Below are 19,792 nucleotides of genomic sequence, written 5' to 3'. Positions count from 1 at the left end.
AGTATTTATTTTCCCCTCCGTGAATACAAGCTGTGATTTGTTTCTTGCCTTTCTTTATCCTCCCCTATAGGACTCATGTCTGCACTACACCTTATACAACAGTGTCTGTGAAATGGTTAAAGAGTAAAAACCCAATCTGTTGCAGCCAGAAAGGAGTACTCCACCTATTACACAGCAAGGCCAATAGATTGCTTGTTATTTTAAGTGTTATTTAAATTATCTCCCTAGGGAAGATAATTTTCAGCTGCCTCTCCATCTTCTTAAAGAAGAGCAGAATTTAACACATCTCGTCTTTGTGAAAAACAAAGACACTGAAGCAATGGTCAGAAAGAAAAGGAATAAAGACAAAGTCAAGGAAAGAGCCATACAAGGACAGTTAGCATAAGATAGTTGTTCTCAATGTAGGCTATCCAGAACAGCACTGTCAACCTCACCGCGGAACTTGAAAGAAGTGCAAATCCTTGAGACTGACTCCAAGTCTACTGAATCAGAAATTCTGGGGGTGAAGTCCATCAATCTTTGGTTGAACAAAACACAACCAATCTCACATTTATGGAAGTTTCATATATGAAGTCATAAAAGTCACTAGAAAGGTATTAACTAACAATTACAGTGTTTACAAATTTGAAAAGGACAGCTTTACTTTTCATAAAGAATTGCAGCCTGCAGACTGACCATTCCACGGCCTGGGAACTGTAGCCTCCAGCAGATACTGGAAGCAGGCACTTTGAGGGAGGGAAGGATGAGACAGAAACTTATGGCAAATAGATTGGCTAAGTATATATATATATATATATTTCACAGATTATAGGAGGAGCTATAAATATCTATGACAGGGGGATGTCTGCATGCACAGTAAGTAGATATTCATGTTGCATACATCCTATGTTTACTTTGGAATGGAGAGTTAAGACTTAAATGTATTAAAATTAGGCTCTATATGTCAAAAGGTGAAACAGAGGACACAGAGGCATCCTGTGCACAGCCTCTATAAACCAGCCAGAACCAGTTGCTGGTCTGTGGTCTCTTATCAGAAAGGAATGCTGGTCAGTTACCTTGGAAATGCAAAAAGGAGGGGAGTCTGGCAGTGTCAGGTGGTCCATTGAAATCAGTGGTGGAACAAGTCTCTCCGAAGGGCTGGTTTCTGTTCAACCGTTAGGAAAGAAAATTGACTGGCAGCTAACAAGAATCGGTGTATATAACATGGCATGACTGACCTCCCATTCCATCATGATGAGGACCTCAGTTTTTAAGACTTCTCTGGGGTCCCCGTGGCCAAGAGGGGGTTCATTTAGTCCATGGGGGTACTTAGGATTTTACTTTATTTCTCAAAAGGCAGAAGGAGGAAATAATTTGATAAGTAGAACTTTGAAATGCATTATATTTCATAATGGTGAAATAAAAATCTGTGTCACATCAGTAATAAAAATTAATGCCCGGGACCAGACACAATAGTTGAAGCCTATAATCCCAGCACTTTGGGAGGCAGTGGTTGGAGGATTTCTTGAGCCCAGGAGTTCAAGACTAGCCTGGGCAACATAGTGAGACATTATCTCTACAAAAAGTGAAAAACTTAGCCAGGCATGGTGGTTCATGCCTGTAGTCCCAGTAACTCAGAAGGCTGAGGTGGGAGGACCATTTGAGCTAGGAGGTTGAGGATGCAGTGAGCAATGATCATGCCAATGCATTCAAGCCTCTGTGACAGAGTGAGATCCTGCCTCAAAAACATAATAATAATAATAATAATTAATACCAGGTAGGTTGAGGCTTTAAAATGTAAAAAGCAAAATTTCAAAAAGAGCTTAAATAAATTTTTTTTTTACTTCAGGGTATAAGGGGAAAAATAAGTTTTTCTTAACACTTCTAAGTGCTCAGCTGGGGCCCCCTATAAGAAGAGACAGATTAACAGGAGAAAAACAAACAAATGTTTATTAACATGTATATATCATATATACATGGGAGAAAACTCAGGGAAAGATTAACTCTGCAAGAGGTGGCTTAGAATTCAGGCTTAAGTGCCATTGAGGGGAAAGAAATGTCTATTCTTTCCATCTTAGGTTCACAGCTGAGGCCCCTGTAACAAATGACATAGTAACAAGGGAAAAGCATACAAATTTATTATAACTTTTAAGTGTCCTGGGAGCCTTTGAAATGAAGATCCGAAATAACAGGTAAACCCGTATGCTTTTAGGCTTAGATTTGATGAAGATGGACAGTTGTTGAGATATATGATTGGAGAACAAGAGTATGATCTAATGGCAATCAACCAGGGAAAACTGAGTGAGGCCTACTTGTTTAGCTTTTTCTTGATGTCCGTGTCTTCAGCTCCTTCTCTGTGGATGTAGGGAGGGTACTCCTCTAATGAGCGTCTATGTATGACCTGCTTCAGGGGAGAAGGGCAAGGGGAAAGTGAGAATGGCCTTTCTGCTTCTGCTGCTTTCTCACATACCAAGTTGGCATATTTTGGGGCAGTTTATCCTCAGCCCCATCATTATCTTAATAGGGGAAGGAAACAGGGATGTAGGCCGCTTTGGAGAGGGTATGTGATTTTCAGGGAAGATGGATGGGCTCACAGAAGAATAGATGGGAGAGAAGATAGTTTGTCTGGGTGTTGTGTCAACTTGGAGTCTCTTCTCCTGTGATAACAGTCAGTCTTCCCTGGTTGATGAAACTCCTGGGGAGGGGATTTATGACAATTAAGTTCATTTGGAGTGACCAATCTTTGGGTAGATAAGGGGAGTTCAGAGAAATCCTCTCCCTGCATTTGCTGTTTTCCAAATGCCTTCAGCTCAAAATAGTCAATATATCAAAGTAGCATGATGGGGTGGCATATTTGTTTCCTTCCATGATAACAAAACTTTACAAGGAACAAAAGTTACTAGCCAGAAAAAAAAGTTGAAAATTGTATGTGTTTTAAATAAATTCTCTTAACTAAAAGACATAATTTAAAAGAAAAAAAAAACAAGACACACTTAAAGATGTTTATAACACATACAATTGACAAAGGATTAACTTCAAGAACATAAAAAGAACTACAAATCCCTTTAAATAAGAAGAACACAACTCAATAAAAACATTGGGCAAAACAGATGAAACCCTTTTGGCCAATAAATATATGAGGAAATAATCTCATTTGAAATTAAGAAAGTGTACATTAAGACTTCAATGAGATACCATTTTAACCCTGTTCAATTGGCTAAAGTTAAGAAGTTTGACAATATTTTGTGTTAAAGGAGAAAGAGACTAAGATAATCTTTTTATACAATGCTGCTATGTGATAGTTCTTTGGAAAATAAGTTGAGATTATCTTTACAAGTTAAATAGTGACAAACCATGGCTCCATAATGTCACTTCTGAGAAAATACCCAAGAATAATTCTTACATATGAGTATCATGAGATAATGACAAAAATATTCACTGTATTACTGATTATAATTACTAAAAACTGGAAACAATACAAACTCCCATCAACAGGAAGATTAATAATTATATTGCAGCAATTTAACACAATTAAATGCTGTAACATGGGATAATACGGAAAAATTTTAGTAAAAAGTTGAATAAAGTTCCAAAAAACTACAATAGAGTGAGACATTTCTTATGAAGTTCAAAAATGAGTAAAACTAACACTATATCCTTTATGAATACAAACATGTTCGAGTGGATGATGAACATTAAATGTAGGGATTTAGGGTAGTGGTGATCTATGTGAGGAAGTTGAGGGTTGGGATCGTGGATGAGGACAGGTTTTATATGAGTTATTGGTTTTGTTTTAGATAGTTGAACATTCATGATATTAGTATATTATTTAAAAATCAATAAAATAACAATATTAAAATAAGAGAATGCATATAAGAAAGATAAGGTTGCAGAATAAACTAAAGATCATGATTAATTCTAAATTTCTGTAGTCCTTAAATAAAAAAAAAAATGAAGAAGAAGAAGAAAAGAAAAAAGAAAAAAAAGAGAGAAAGGAAAGTGTAACTGCCCAACAGTTTCACCTTTCCCACTGCCTAGACAGAGCTGATTTATCAAGACAGGGGAATTGCAATAAAGAAAGGGTTATTCATGCAGAGCCAGGTATGCAGGAGGCCAGAGTTTTATTATTCCTCAAATCCATCTTCCTGAGAATTCAGGGATCTGAGTTTTTCAGGACAATTTAGTGGGTAGGGGTCAGTAAGTTGGGAGTGCTTCTTGGTTGGGTTGGAGATCAGAGAGTTGAAGCTGTTCTCTTGCACTGAGTTAGTTCCTAGGTGGGGCCACAAGATCAGATGAGACAGTTTATCCATTTGGGTGGTGCCTGTTGATCCATCAAATGCAAGGTCTGCAAAATATCTCAAGTACTAATCTTAGGTTTTACAATGGTGATGTTATCCCCAGCAACAATTTGGGGAGGGTCAGAATCTTGTAGCCTCCACCCACTTGACTCCCAAACCATAATTTCTAACTTTGTGGCTAATTTGTTAGTCCTACAAAGGCAGTCTAGTCCCCAGGCAAGGAGGGGTTTTTGTTTTGGGAAAAGGCTGTTACTGTCTTTGTTTCAAATATAAATCATAAACTAAGTTCCTCCCAAAGTCAGTTTGGCCTATGTCCAAGAATCGACAAGGACAGGTAGGAGGTTATAAGCAAAATGGAGTTGCTTAGTTCAGATCTCCTTCACTGTAACAATTTTCTCCGTTATAATTTTGCAAGGGTGGTTTCAAAGGAAAGAAGGAAGGGTAGAGAAGTTTAAATTCTTCCCCTTAAGATTGAGTAATTTGAGTCTATAAAATAAACTGATACTAGATAGGGCAAAAAAAAAAAAATGATACTAGCAGGACAAAAAAAAATACGCTAATTTTATTAATGTGCATTCAGGCACAGGAGTCATGTAAATATTAAAAACTCAAAGAAATGGCCAGATAGTTGATGCTTTTATACCATCTTCAGGGAACAGAAGGAATAGGGGTTTGGAGCATGGCATGACGGGTTACAGTGCTAAGATAGGATATAAAAGGGAGAGAAGAGGAAAAGCATGGGGCAAATGTGGTCTTGTGACGCAGATGAAACCTCACAGGTATCATCCCCCTAAAGGAATATCTGGTAGCCTATGGTAAATGTTTCTCCACCAGATTTTGCAAAGGTGTCAGATTCTCAGTTAATCTTTCTTACATCAGGATAGGGAGAGTAGCTTCTGAGAAAGCCAGGCTGTTTATTTTATTGATGCATATTTTTTTCTAAAAATGCAAGTCTACTCCACAAAAGGCAATTTTCAGGGTTATTTCTGTCTCCAGACCCTCTGATTAGCCATATCAACATATGACAAAGAAGTATATTTTGGGGTAAAATATTTTTAGGGTTTATTTTAGAAAAATGGAGAGAGAAAGGAGAAAAATACATAAAGTATCAAAATAAAAATGTAGTTTTTCCTGAATTTTCATAAACATCTTGTGTTAAGAGTATCTTAATTTCTAGACAAAAGTTGGAAATTTATATTAACACTTCACTCAATGTATTTTATCAGCTTACCTTAAATCTAGTCTATGTTAAATCTACAATAAACTACATATAAATTTCATTCATTAAAAATGTCAATTTGCCATTTTTAGGCAGATTTACCATAAAGCTACTAAAACTTCAATCTCAAGATTTATCACTTGCACAGGCTGCCAACAATGTGATCACATGATCAGATGTTGTTGTAAACTTTGCAAAACTAAGGTATTTAAACCATAGTCTGTTAAAGCATTTATTCTTTCCACTCTGAATTGCCCCTATCATATATCCCATTGAAATGGTTTGCAGCAGCTACACCCATTTGGGGATCCAGCAAAAGAGAAATCTGGTTGAGTTTATATTTAGTGTAAATTCAGAGGAATTTATTTATGTGGTTTCATAGTCATTTCCCTTCATGATAAGTTGTTGCTAGCTACCCCAGTGTGGGAATGGCTTCCAGGAACACTCTTATTACCTCTTGTATTGATTCCCTAGCACATACTGCTACATGAATGTTTTCCCCTGTGCTATGTACCAAAAATAAATGATGAGTATGAGAGAAAAAGTATTTGAAAGGTACTGTGTCAGCAGCTAGTGCGTGGAAAATTTTTTCAATCATCAGAAATGTCAAGTTATAAGCAAAAAACTCAGTTCTCATTAACCTCTAGTCAAAGTGAAAGTTCTATTATGTTATGAATATATTTAATAATGCATTATATACAAGTACAAATGGGCAAAACATTTTAATGGGAGCCACATAAAATGAATTGTATAGAATCCTTGTGTTTGAAGTCACAAACCCATAACAGCACTATAAACTACAGCACATCTGTATGTGAAATTGCATGTTAGTGTGCCCCAAATATTAATTTAACAAGTTTTTATCAATAATGATAGAGGAAATATTAAATTATCTTTTTAGTCTTGATTTTTTTAAAAGCAATATTGTAAAACCATTGTCATATAAAATGCTGTAGGGTCCAAGGGAAAAACCTCCCCTTTGTCTTTTAAACATTAGCTGAAAATCAACTGACAAAAGGCAGATTAATAGGAGAGAAAGTATACAAAATGTATTAATATGCACGTGTGCACAGGAGGCACACAAAAATGAACTCAAAGAGGAGCCGGATGGTTGATGGTTAAGTAGTCTCTTCATAGGGGATAGATGCACAAAGGCAAAAGCAGACATTATGGAAAGGTGAGGAACAGAACTGCACAGGAGCAAAGGTTGTCTTATGCAGATAAAGTGCCCCAGGTAGTCTCTTGGAGCTGCAGAAGGAGAATAGAGAAAAAGTTTGTCTGGGTGTACTGATGACTCCCAGGCTCTTCTTTTCTCCAGTGGTTGACTTTTTTTCCTAGTTATTCAGTGAGATCGCTAGAGAGGACCTTCAAGACAATTGCATTTCTGTTGGAAAGAAGTTTTTCTTCGTCAGATAAGGAAATTCCAAAGAGAGCTCCTCCCCACATTTGGCAAGGGGAAATGTGGAGGGTGGATAAAAAGATTGAAGGAACCTTGATTCTGAGGCAGCTTATAAGACTTCTCAGCACATTGAAGTACCAGTCTAGAGTTATGCCAATATACTCATTTATAAAAATTCGATTTTTGAGGGTTCTTTTTTAGGGGGGCGGGATTTGTGATGTTTGTGGTATTTCACAGCTTCTAAAAATCTATAATTTGTTTTTTCTCATTTTAAATAAATATATACTTTTTAATCTACTTTTGTATGCATACAAACTTTTTTGTATTTATTTTAAAAAGTTTTAAAAAATTGTTTACATTTCTTTTAAAAAGAGAACCCTCCAAAATGTATAAGCTTCAAGCCTTTCCAAATTTAGGCAAATCCCTTCCTGAGCCTCTAAAATATAGGTGACATAATCCCTCTTTCCACTGATCCCAATCTAAAATCCCATGCTTTCCCTTCACCTCACCCTCTTTGACTCTCTGTTGGAGGCAGGACGAAGCCTCAGTACATGAAAAATCTTAGGGGAAAAAAATGTAATAAGGAATAGGATGGGAGTAAAGAATAAATATGCACAATTATGTCCCAAAGAACATATTAGAGACTACATTGTATAGCATTTTATCCCTGAAGGAAACCAGAGTATGTCACCCCCTTAGGGGCCAAGAGAAAACTTCCCCTTTGCTCTCAGAAGGTTTGCTAAAAAAAAATAAACAGACAAAAGGCAGATTCATAGTAAAAATGGCAAACAAATTTATCAACATGCACAGGGGAGAATCCCAAAGTGATTGACTTATATTCCAGTGTCTATATAACATATGCCCTAAGTCTTAGAGGAAAGGGAGATGGAAAAATGTGGGTCATTTTAGGGGGATGGTAAATAATTTTTAGGGGAATTCAGTGGGCTTGAAGAACATACAATGGCCTGGGACAAACCCTGTTGGGCCTGCAGGGCAGGCAATGAATTATAACAAAAGTCTGTCCAGGTGTGTTGACAAACTTCAGTCTTTCTTCTTCCTGCGATATGAGTTCAGTTTATGAAAACTCAGGGAAGGGACCAGAGGTAATGGTTTCATTTTTTGATGAGTCCAGACTTCCCGCAGATAAGGGAATTTCACTTCCCGCAGATAAGGGAATTTCACCGAACAACTTCATCCTGTGCTTTGGAAAAGAGAGGACCAAGAGACAGGAAGCGGGAGAATGTCGGAGAGAATTGAAAGGTTTCTCAGTTTCGTATGTCAAAGTTCCACATTTAGGGTATAAGGTTCTGAGCTCCAACAACCCCAAAATATGCCTCTTGGACATAAAAATTATTTTTGAACTGAAGGCAGTTAGGAAATGGCAAAGGAAAATCTCCCCCTAACCTCCCATTCTCCTCACTTTCTGCCTGAAGACCAGATAGAAATTCTTTTTTGCCAGAGACAATACTGTCTCTTATTATCCCAGAGACAGTACCAGAGGAACCTGCAAACAAATCTTACTCCACTGGTTTCTTCCACTATATTTGCTGTTTAACCATTTTGTACCCTTGGAAGCTCAAAACTGTTTTCTTTTGTCCTGTCATTTCTTTTCAAATCTATTGCTGTCTATTTAAGAAGCTACATATGTTGAGTTCTAAGCCACCATTTTGAGTTACTTTTCATCAAAGCTTCTTCTGTGTCACACGTGCTGCCCACATTAATAAACTATTTTGTATTTTTTTTTTATTAATCTGTCTTTTGCTACAGGGGTCTGTTACACCTAAGAGCTCATGGTCATTAAGGAAAAAACTGTTTTCCTCCCCTACAGACCTATAAACAATATTCTGTGCACCCAGTTTCACCTCATGATGGAACTCAGAACCCAGTGTCCCTTAGGAGTGTTGGCGCCACTGCACTCCAGCCTGGGCGACAGAGTGAGACTCTGTCTCAAAAAAAAAAAAAAAAAAAGATGATGTGTATGTATTCCACATTAGTCTTCATTAAGAGCTACATTCTGATATAAGCTATATAAAATAAAAATTTTTGAATGCTTTTCCCTAGGAACTCAACCGTTACATATAACTTCACTTTTCTATGGAGAAATAAATTCTGAGATGCAAACAACAGATTTACAAAGGACCTTTTCAGACAAAGCTTTTCCTTAATCAGAAGTTAAGTGTTGTATTGTACTTCTTAACTCTTTTGTTTGTAACTCACTTTCCTTGTCAGTAATAGAGAAATGACAATCCAACTTGTCTCCTGGGAAGAGGAGAAGTGAATGGGATAATTAAGATCTAAAACTCTAAAACCTGCTCTTATTTTTTTCTGAGTGCTCAAGGCCATGAATGTGTGAGTAAAATCTTAGGGAGCAGAAATCATATCTTTTGGGTTGCTATCATACAGTGAGAAGCCACTTTAAAAAAATATTAAAAAGTCACTGGTCACTGAAGCTTAGACTTTGAATTTTAGACCTGGCTTTTTTCCTCACGAGTTCTGAGAGGTGGAGAAAGTCCCTCAACCTCTCCAGTCCACAAGACCAGGATCAAAATAATGGAAGTTTGGACAATGTGGTCTCCAAAATCCACCTTGGTTCTTACAATCTCTTCTTTCGTGACCAGAAAACACTCATTAAAAAACAAAACAAAAAAAAAAAGATATTAAAGAAATTCTTCTTTTGCCAACCTCAAAAAGCAAATTTCTGTGACATATCAGACTGTTTAAACCCAATTGTCCTTGGGAAAAGTATTTCCATATTATAGGGAGATCACTAAAAAATCCACCTTTAAAAGTTTCAGAATTTTTGAAAAACCAAAATGCCATTTCAGATATCCACCATTACATGATTATATGATGAAAACAGGGGTAGATATTAATAACAAAGTAACTTTTTGTTGATATTATCTACTTTTTAAAAGTTAATATTAAGGAGAGGCACACAGAAAATAAATTAAAAAATTTGCAAAAGACTAGCTGTATTTTAAAAAACCAAATAAATAGAGAAACAATTATTAGAAAATTAAGCCTAATGAAAAAAAGAAAGACACTGAAATAAACTTTTGAAAAAGGCCTAAGAGAAGGTTCATATTTTTGAGGGATGACTATTTGAATTTGAAATGTAGTTATTTTCCTGCTATCTGCACAAGTGTTTCATTTTCAGTGAGGGCAAGGAAAATTAAAAATATCCAGGCAGTATGTATGTCATAAATGTAACTACTGTTTATTTTAAATTATTTCATTCCCTGTTCAGCTATTTTTTTAACAGCTGTTGCCATTGCTACATGTTTATTCCAATCAATCAACCCCTTGCTCCAACATTTGCAACAAATTCCAGAAACCAAAAATGCAATGTATCTATCAACTCATGTTGGCAGCAATCAAGAGAAAATCAAATAAAAAGCATTTTATGTTAAGAAGTAAAAGTTCCATCTACATTTACATTTATATTTAGCTGTATTGAGTTGGCAAACTCAAGTCTGGGGATGAAATAGGAGCAAAGTTTTCTGAAGAATTTGGCCTGAGAGACAATTGAAACCCCTGTGGTTTCAGAAGTGCATAAAAACTGCAGCCCCATCATGCTTTGCCTATAAAGAAAATTGCCCATCAGCATTTTAGTTGAATTTTGAAAGGAAGGCTTATGCCAGCCTCCTTGTGGGAACTTCTTGTCACCCTGTGTAGCTAAGCAATGTACAGTATTTGATGCTTGATTGTGTCTCTGGATCCCAGAAGATTTTTAATAGTCTTAGGTAATCACCTTCCAAATTTAGATAGATAGATGATAGATAGATACATAGATAGATAGATTAGATAGATAGATAGATAGACAGAGAGATAACAGACACATAGACAGATTGATAATAGATAAAAAAGAGTCTCAATAGAAGCAAATGAGAATATAGATTATCTGATAGTCCACTAAATACATAGAATGTCAAAATGATTATTATTCTTCACTCAAAACATTATACCAAATATTTTTCAACACTTGGAGAAGGGAGTAGACAAATATCTATTTATTTATGTAAATTCTGTTTTCTGTTTTGATATTATGCTTAGTATAAAATGAGGTACAGGAGTGGGGAAGATTTTGTCTTGGATGTAAGACCCTGAGTCTGTACTTCCCTTGGAAACTCGTATGTAGGCAGAGCTTGCTGTCTCCAATTACTCTCCACACTGATTCTCTTGGCTCTGTGGAGTAGCTCTCATTAACTTATAGAATATAGATATAAGAATTCTTTGTTCACAGAAGAAAGGATATGTCTTTTTCCCTAGCGATTAATGCTAAAGTAGTAAAATCCATAGTTCTAATCTGTAATTGTTATAAACTCATAAATATAATCTCCAAGAGAGTGGGGACATTGTCCATCTGCCATTCTGCCCACCATATCTACAACACATCTGGCACTGAATAATCTTCCAGTAACTGATGTTGAATAAGTGTATGGAGAAAGTGTATGATTAGGAGATAGGTTGACATTTTCTTCTACCAAGTAAAGTTTATAAATAGTTGTTTGCAAGTGGAAAACATGTGTCTATCTATGCATTCATGACATACGTGAGTGAAAAGTGAGAAATGAGATCGTGTATGAATTAATAGGAGACCTTCATTAAATGTTAGTTTCCCCATTCCAGAGGGACAGGAAAACAACATTACACTGCCCCTAATTTTAAAATCCCTAAGTTCATATATAGCTTTCATTAAGACAAATCATCAAATGTACTATAAATCATATGAAGCTTGGGGCAATATCCATTTTTCTGTTTTGCTTTTGTTTTGTTTCCCCAGCCTTTAGCACAGTGCCTAGAATATAGAAGACAAATATTTGTGAAATAAATAAAATATGTATAAATGAATGAACAAATGAATTACAAATGCATGAATGAATCATTCCAAATTATACATTAATCAATGGAAAATATTATTGAAATGTAATTTGTGTTTATTTGTCTCCTTCAAGGAAAACTATTTGCTTATGAATTACCAGTGCAGGATAAAGTAAATAATTTACAGAAAATTACAAAGTAGAATTTAACATATGAAATTCCTTTTTAAAAATGTTCCAAGGCAAGAAGAACCAGGGAGCTGACATGTTCCTAGATCCAGGAGCCACCCAGTGGATTGACGATTCTTATCATAATAAGACTTCCTTGAACCATCCCCCACCCAACCCTTTTCCAGAAAGAGTTGAAGACAAATCTACAGTGAATAGGAGGCTGAGGCCACCACAGTGAGTTCCAAGAGTATGCACCACAGTGCCCCCTCTTATTCAATCCCAATCATTGCTAAGCAACTAACTGGTTGTCAGTGGTGGCAGAGATAAAAAGCCCATTCTGCTTCGAGAAGAATCCCTTGGCAGAAGTTACTGTTCCCAAGCTCAAAAAATAAATCAGGAAATCTATATCTAACATATTAGAGAAGTATTAAACTTGATTTTTTTCTGCTAAATGAGAGAAGAAAGATGAGGGAAATACCCAACTAAAAAATATATAATAATGCAGTTTTAGGTTGACAATGAAGAACAATGAAGAGGTGCAAACAGAATCCAAACCTAGCTTATAATCTGCTTTGAAATGTTTAAATACAAGAGGTTATATTCCTGGAAAAAAAGCTAAAGTGTGAATTCTGGAACAAGGGTACCAGTCAATATCGATAGCAAGGTCTTCTGCACAACTGCAGTGGCTGGGGCGGGCAGAAGGGAAAGGGAACAGCGAGGGAAGGGTAGGACTGCCTTCGCCGTATGGATGCCATGCCCTTGGTGAGAGCAAGATTTGAATTCATTTAACCCGTTTGCTTCACAGTATTCTCCATTCCTCTACTTTTTCGGAGTAAGAATTTAAGAGATCCTCTTTTTAATAAAATAGATTTTTACAAAATGTAAAGTTCTTCTCTCACTTACCAACTTTAAAAATCTCTAAGGAGGACTTTAGAAACTGAAGATCAATTCCTGATACCTCCATGTGAATAGCTTTGTAACTCAATGTGGTTTTTCGTTTTCTTGTTTTTTTTTTTTCCTGAAAACAAAATTCATGTCTTGAAAAGGAACACCAAAATTCCAACTCCACAACCTTTGGGAAGTCCCCCATGAGCTGCTTGTTCACGGATTAGCACCTAGCTGCAGCTGAGAGAGATTCTCACATGCAGGAGAATCAGACTTGTGTCCTGGACTTAGCAAAGCATGATCACACTCTTTGTCCTTATCTACCCAGCCACAGCTTCCAGTGCAAGTGTCCTTGTGCCCTGGTGCCTGATATCCAGCTCCGGCAGCCTAGAAAATCAGTTAGGCTTTTCAGTCACAGCACCCTCTGTGACAAACGTGTGGAGCACCGCACGACTTCTTCAACCAGCTGGTTTTTCTGGCATTCGAATAAAAGTAAAAATAGAAAACAAAGAGGGAGAAGAAAAGTGACAAGCTGAAACCTGCGAAGAGAAAGAGGACAAGGTACAGAAAATTGGCTCCAGGACGCCAGGGAGGGGGCGGGGTATGATGGGCTGCTACTGCCATCTAGTGGCTGCATGACACTCGGTGAAAACTAATAAATCAGGCTCCAAGGGGCTTTGATTTATTTTTTCAGTTCCAGGCGAAAAGAAAATGTCTTCATAAATGAGCTGGGACAGTGGTGAGGAGATTTTTTTTTTTTTTTTGGCCCTAGTCAATGACTTCCACTTCGTTTGGTAAACTGGGGAAAGATAGAGGAAACCTTACCAGAGCTGCCTTAACAAGTGTGTCCCTCTGCTTTTCTATTTGAGACTTCAGCAGACACCTTCTTCAAACGACGGTTTCCCCTCACGCCTAGGTTGCCGATTAGGACAGAAATAATCATGATAAAATAAGTATTCCTCCAGTTAAATTTGAATTTCAGATAAACAACTAATAGATATTTTAGTATAAGTATGTCCCATACCATATTTAGAGCATATCTACACTAAAAAACATTTATTATGTATCTGAAATTCAAATTTGTGGCCATTTGTATTTTATATGATAACCCTACCTCATCCCCCAGTAAAGATAATATTTAGCTAAAAATTTTGATAGTAAGTTTATTTTAGGACTGACCTGAAATATGGCTGTCCATGAGAAAAATATATTGCTTGCATCATTTCTGCTCACGACTATTATTACAGATGTTGGTATGAATAAACATCTTAAAAGGGATAATTCATAATAAAGGTAATATCTTAGACATTGAATTAAGTCCATTTTAATCTTTCATACTGAATTCCCGTTTGTTCTATGACATATATATCCGAGTTGGAAGCTTGTGGGAGGCAGATAGGTTTGAAGATCTAGTCACTAAAATGTACTTCAAATTAATAACCACTTATTGATTAGAAACCTGTATAAATGTGTTAACAGGACCTGAATGTTATTGGCTCAGAGCTTACGTTTAGGGGCACAAACTATTATGAAATGTGTATAAAAAGGACTCCTGTCTCAGAAAGACTCTCTCTTCTCGCCAGGGAAACAAGAGTCTAAAAAAAGACCCAAGCGTCTTAGCAGCTTTATTTTTCACCTTTAATACACTTGACAATTTGACAGATTGAATTTTGCTTTTTAGATTTTGACTTTTAATGAGAACATTCCTTTTATTTCACTTGGCTGAAGGACAAGATTTAAACACCCACTGAACAAGGATAGCTTATTAACTGCCACAAAGGTGCTGTGGCTTGAATGATCATGTGTATTTAGGACAACCTATTCAATTGATGGATGAGGCTAAATCTTCCAGAATTTACTGCAAACATGTCTTAGATGTGGTACAATCATGGCCATTTTTCATGACTTGTGTGAGTCATTAATTATAATGGAAGAGCTCCCTAAAAGGGAAAATGATAATCTCATTTGGTGTTGAAATAGCCATAAACCCAAAGAGTACTTCTAAGTAAATGATCATGTAAGACCTGCAATAGAAACGTGAGCCATCCTTCCCTCAATCCTCACAATTCCACATAACCACACAATAGTAATACCCCTTCTTTGCTTGTTAACACTAGACAACCAACTTTCTGTGACTTAATTGTATTTTTCAAAGTAAGCTAAAATCTAACCTGCCTTGTCAAAATAAAAGAGCTGACTGATAGTAAGCAAATTGCTTTGAAATTCCTGGAGTAAACCATCCTCATTGGGATGTAACTTCTGCCAATTATTAAAGGATGCCTCGGCCCCAAACAGAGCACACCTAGATGTTACGCACCTTAGAAACTGAGAATATAATACATTATGCACTTAATGGTATTCTGATACAGATATACACTACTTAACGTAATAGGTATATTCCTAAATAGTGCATCAATTCAGATCATCTTTTTCTATTGAATTATAATATAATTTAGGAGGTGTATTGTTCTTATTTCTATTCCTCCATCAATTGCTAGTGATTGCTAGTACATAAGCTTATACTTAACTTCTTTATTGCTGATCAAGTCGCTACTAAAAATAGAGAATATAAAATACTACTGGAGAAAAATTCTTTTTGTATTAATCCTTTATGCTATAAGAATTAAATCCCTTTAAACCTCAATTTGTATATTTGGGATTTTTCTTATATACCTATATATTTCATCAGCTAAACTATTTTCAGGCTATGGAAGCTATATTAGTCTTATTTAGCCAACAGAACCATTTTATAGGTAGCGAAATCTGCAAAATGGAAAATCTATAAGACCTACCCTATTAATCTCACAGAATTTGTATAAGGGTCAAATGAGAGAGCATGGATTATAGGAAATAATACGTTGTTGGGAAACAGCTTTTTATGTCTCTCTTATGTGTGTATTCATGTTTTGTGAGCAGAGTTGATGACAGCTCTTATTCCAGACTGTCTTTTCAAAAAATGTATTTTCAAGACATTTTTTCAATAAATGATAGAAAGAGTGTCACCCTCCTGGGCAAAGGGCAGATTTGTTTGCCGACCAACATAATACAAATAAGAAAACACAGCGAGAGCTCCCTCTGGGCAAAGGTTGGTCAGGTTTGCTTGTAACCCTTTTACAGATTAGGATTTCTCAGCTGTGACACAAACACATTGCAAACACAGCATCCACCTGGGACTGTCTCCTGGTGATTCCCCATGAGATCTATGGGGAGAGGGGAACCAATGCAAACATAAATCTTATGCTGCCTGTTGTGCCATAAATAACCAAGTATCTGACTCAGGAGTCTCATTTATTCTTATGGTATTCATGAATCTATAGCAAGCTCACTCTTCAGCTTATAAGCAGGGTAAGATCTCAAACTCTCAGAGTTCCTGACATGAACTTTTAAAAATTATTTGTGGTCCTTGCAATTCTGAGATAGTACTATTACACTGTAAAACTACCTTACATGTTGATAACGTATATGACTGTGGGTGCATTTTAATCTGTGTAGATCATGGGTAAGGGAAGATAGGTGAGTCAACATCTCCTGAAGATAATTTTCCTAATACAGACAATATTGTAGCATCTTTAAGTTGAGCTAGTACCTTGCTTCCCCAGTGCTACGATTTCTTTAGCATTCATAAAACTGTTGGAGAGAGAGTACAATATGGCGGTTCAAAATGTGGACTGAAGAGTCAGGTTGTGCTGTATTCCCAGTTCTACCACTTACTAGCTATGCGATCTTGAACGCATTACTTAAACTTTTTGGGAGTTAATAAAATATACTCCATAGGGTTGTTGTTTATACCAAGCAGTCAGTAATTGTTATTGTTTTCACTCTGAGAAATCAAGTAAATCAGGTAATTCAGCTTGTCTGATTTTGATGATTCACAAAGATTTGACATGGACTGTATTTGATAAATCTGGCTTAATACCTTAATTTTACAAAATTCAATATATGTTTATGTGTGTGTGTTGTTTTATTGTTGGGGCTTTTTGTGGTTTTTTGTGGGGTTTTTTTCTCTTCAATACCTCTTTCTTAGGTTAACACTGATCTTCACCATCATTAACTGATTATTAACGTCTTCCTCAAAATATCTACATAATCAACATAGTCAAATCAACAAAGAAATTTCTTAACAATCGTTAACAACTCTCTCTTTATCCAACTTTTTATTTAACTTGTCATAAAATCTTTAAGTGTTTTACTCTCTATACTAAGGACACGTTTTTTCACATGGGGATATGTTGGTATTTAGTGTATATTGCCTCTTCTGCAAAAATCTGTGAGCTACATTCCTAAGAAACCTCAAATTAACAAAAAGCCCTTTATGAAAACAATGATTATAATGGTGGGAAATAGAGTTTTATACACTTTCGTGCTGTAATCAGAGTTTTAGACTCACAATATCAAACATTTATTCTGAAGGAATTTTAATACTAAAATTAGTTTTTATGGTTAATGTTTCTCCTTTATTGCAAACTAAGAATCATTAATTTCTTGATTAAAGCTGAAAATAAATGACTAACCAATTATCTGATTGCCTTTCAATCCACATATGTGAGAATCTTACAAATGTTAGCACCCATTGTAAAAATATGCAAAGCACAAAACTGAAGTGAGGTTTTTTTAAAAAAAATTACAAAATAACAATAAATCATAGTACAGTTTATAACCACCATCAGTAAAGAAAAAAATATGATGGCAATCCAGTAGCTATAAACTCAAAAAAGTAGCTGAGTGAATTTATGCTGCCTATATAATCTTTTTTTCCTTTCAAGGTCACTCCAATTTCCCTGTACAAGAGCCATTGAACTATACAATGATGTGCTAATTATTGTCTTTTTAAAAATGATTAAAATGAGGATAAGTCAGTGACACTCTCCATATCCACCAAAAAGCCCAATCCAGTCTGATAAGTGATAAGAACTCTTCAAGAAAAAAATTCATTGGAACATTTAGTCTATTAATCAAGGAAACAAAATATAATCTGTTTTATATAATGTTCTTCCCTTATGCTCTTTTTTTCCTCTTTACCCCTCACGCCTCACGCCTATCAATTTTCTGAAGAACCTGTATGTACCCAGTGGTGTGGATAAATCGTTATGTATCTGCCTACGCATTGTCAGAAATACAGCAGCCTAAGTAGCCATTCAAGGAATTTAGAGTAAAGTACCATGGTCAGAATTCAAGATATAGCCACTACAGGATCTGAAATGCCATCTGTTCCAACCGCACGACATCCCCATTCAGCAGGCTCACAAGGCTGGCATAGACAGGAAGAGGGACCCCTCTGTTGTCCTCTACTCTCTTCTTCAACTGAGCAATGAGCAGAAGATTTAAGTTTGGGATTTTTTCACTATTTTTCCCAAACGCATGAACAGGTTCTTCTCAAACTGCAAGAGTCGATTCAAAATCCAGACAGCTTTCACCACCCAAGGATTCAGGGAAGTGTTTATTTCTTTGTCTCAGAATCTCTTTAAACATGGTAAGGACAAAGTCATAAGAAGTGTGCATGGTATAGAATCAAAGTACCTTTGGCAGTGATATAGGTCTGTTCTGAAATACAGACTCCTGTGCCCATGGCCACTCTGGGAACTCACGTCGTGTGTTCAGGCTAAGGACATATTAATATACACTGCTTTTCTAACAGCCAACAATGCAGCTGGGAGAAAAACAAATCACTCATTACTGCAAAAAATGTTATTGCCAAATGAAGCATTTCAAGGTTTTACTCTTAAAATGTCCTTTTAAAGCAGAATCTTAGAAAGGACTGCTCAGTTCTACTCCTAGGGAGGGAGACTGAGGCATGGGGAGGTTAAGTGAGTTGCCCAAGGTCACCCAGGAAGTCAGTGAATTAACCAGAAATAGCACCCGGGACTCCTGCCTCCTTCACCACAGCTACCACCACTGGACCACGTTTCCTGATGGCAACAAAGCATCAGACCACAGCGGTTTGCCAGTAACATCAAATAGCATTTTGCCAGTGTAATTTACCTCTTTCGGAATTAAATAATAATACCATTTTACCTTAATCTATCACCTTTTGTCCCAGAGGAGCCTAAAGTGCTAAGTGCTTTAGTTATGAGTTTTAGAAGCTTACATATAAATCACTTCACACACCATTAAAATGCAGCTGTCCTTGGAGTCAATGTTGCAGCTGTTAAACATAAGTATCCCAACTGTTAAACATTTATTGAGCACCAACAATGTGCTAAATGTTAGAGAGGAGGCAGAATTTGAATTTCAGGAGTTTTGGGGGACTAAGAAATACAGGAAAACTACCTAAAATGTTGATGATGTATAAATAGACATCCGACTATTACTAAAACACACTTCTGTTGCTAGTGAATATAATCATGGGGTCTGAAAAATCGCCTTTGGTTATAGCAAGGACCCTTAGATAAATGCTTTAAAAATGTGAAACATATAGTTCAGACCACAGGCAAAGCTGTTCCAGATTCATTCCAAGGCATGTCACTAATCTTTCCTGATTCCTTATTTTCATTTCTCCTTCCTTGTGTGTTCAGGCACCTACAATGACAAATTGTAAATAGCCACGTCCAATAAGTTTATGCGTAACCTTACCTGACTTTTCCATGGAACTCCATTATATAACTAGAAGCATTTCTCCACAAGCGGAAAAAAAATGGAACCAGAAGAGAAACAAAGCACATTTGAGCATACAATAAATAATGATATGGTTAGTGTAAAGATAATAATTTTATGATAAATGGTCAAAATCGATTTATATGTTATACTTTGACAACAGTTCCCACACTATACCCTTTAAAATATGACCTGCCTTAATAAATTCCATGCACCTAGTAGATGCGCAATAGAAATTATGAATGACATTAATCAGGATTACTTTCATTTGCCTGTTTTACACTCCAGATGAAAAGTCAAAGGGAAATAAAGGACATTTGAAAGGAATAAAAAATCACAGATGGGGAAGTGAGTTTCCACTGTATCTGTCCAGTATTCTATGGCTGAGAAATACTTGAGTTGCTCATACATTGTTTTGTAACACTTTGTA

At 36.2% G+C, this 19,792-nt stretch overlaps 1 long non-coding RNA gene across 7 annotated transcripts in view, besides 1 other annotated feature; it reads left to right on the top strand.

The window, feature by feature from the left end:
• Positions 1-19,792, top strand: part of LOC105374016 (uncharacterized) — a 137,553-nt gene that overhangs the window by 18,500 nt on the left and 99,261 nt on the right. For 5 of the 7 annotated variants that reach the window (XR_001740824.2, XR_924286.4, XR_001740822.2 and 2 more), the window contains 5 exons: positions 71-593; positions 11,958-12,120; positions 13,100-13,332; positions 17,824-18,241; positions 19,284-19,456. This is a non-coding gene — a long non-coding RNA (uncharacterized LOC105374016). The other 2 variants (XR_007095988.1, XR_001740825.2) reach the window with 2 other exon arrangements.
• Positions 17,548-19,768: an enhancer, noted in NCBI's record as "VISTA enhancer hs1469". NCBI's record gives its function as "enhancer in: somite[3/5]" and the evidence as "EXISTENCE:transgenic organism evidence [ECO:0001131][PMID:17130149]".

The sequence above is a fragment of the Homo sapiens genome, chromosome 3, assembly GCF_000001405.40.
Source record: "Homo sapiens chromosome 3, GRCh38.p14 Primary Assembly".
Taxonomy (NCBI): Eukaryota; Metazoa; Chordata; class Mammalia; order Primates; family Hominidae; genus Homo; species Homo sapiens.
The sequence above is the reverse complement of the archived record's forward strand: the minus strand, read 5'-3'. Positions and strand labels throughout refer to the sequence as shown.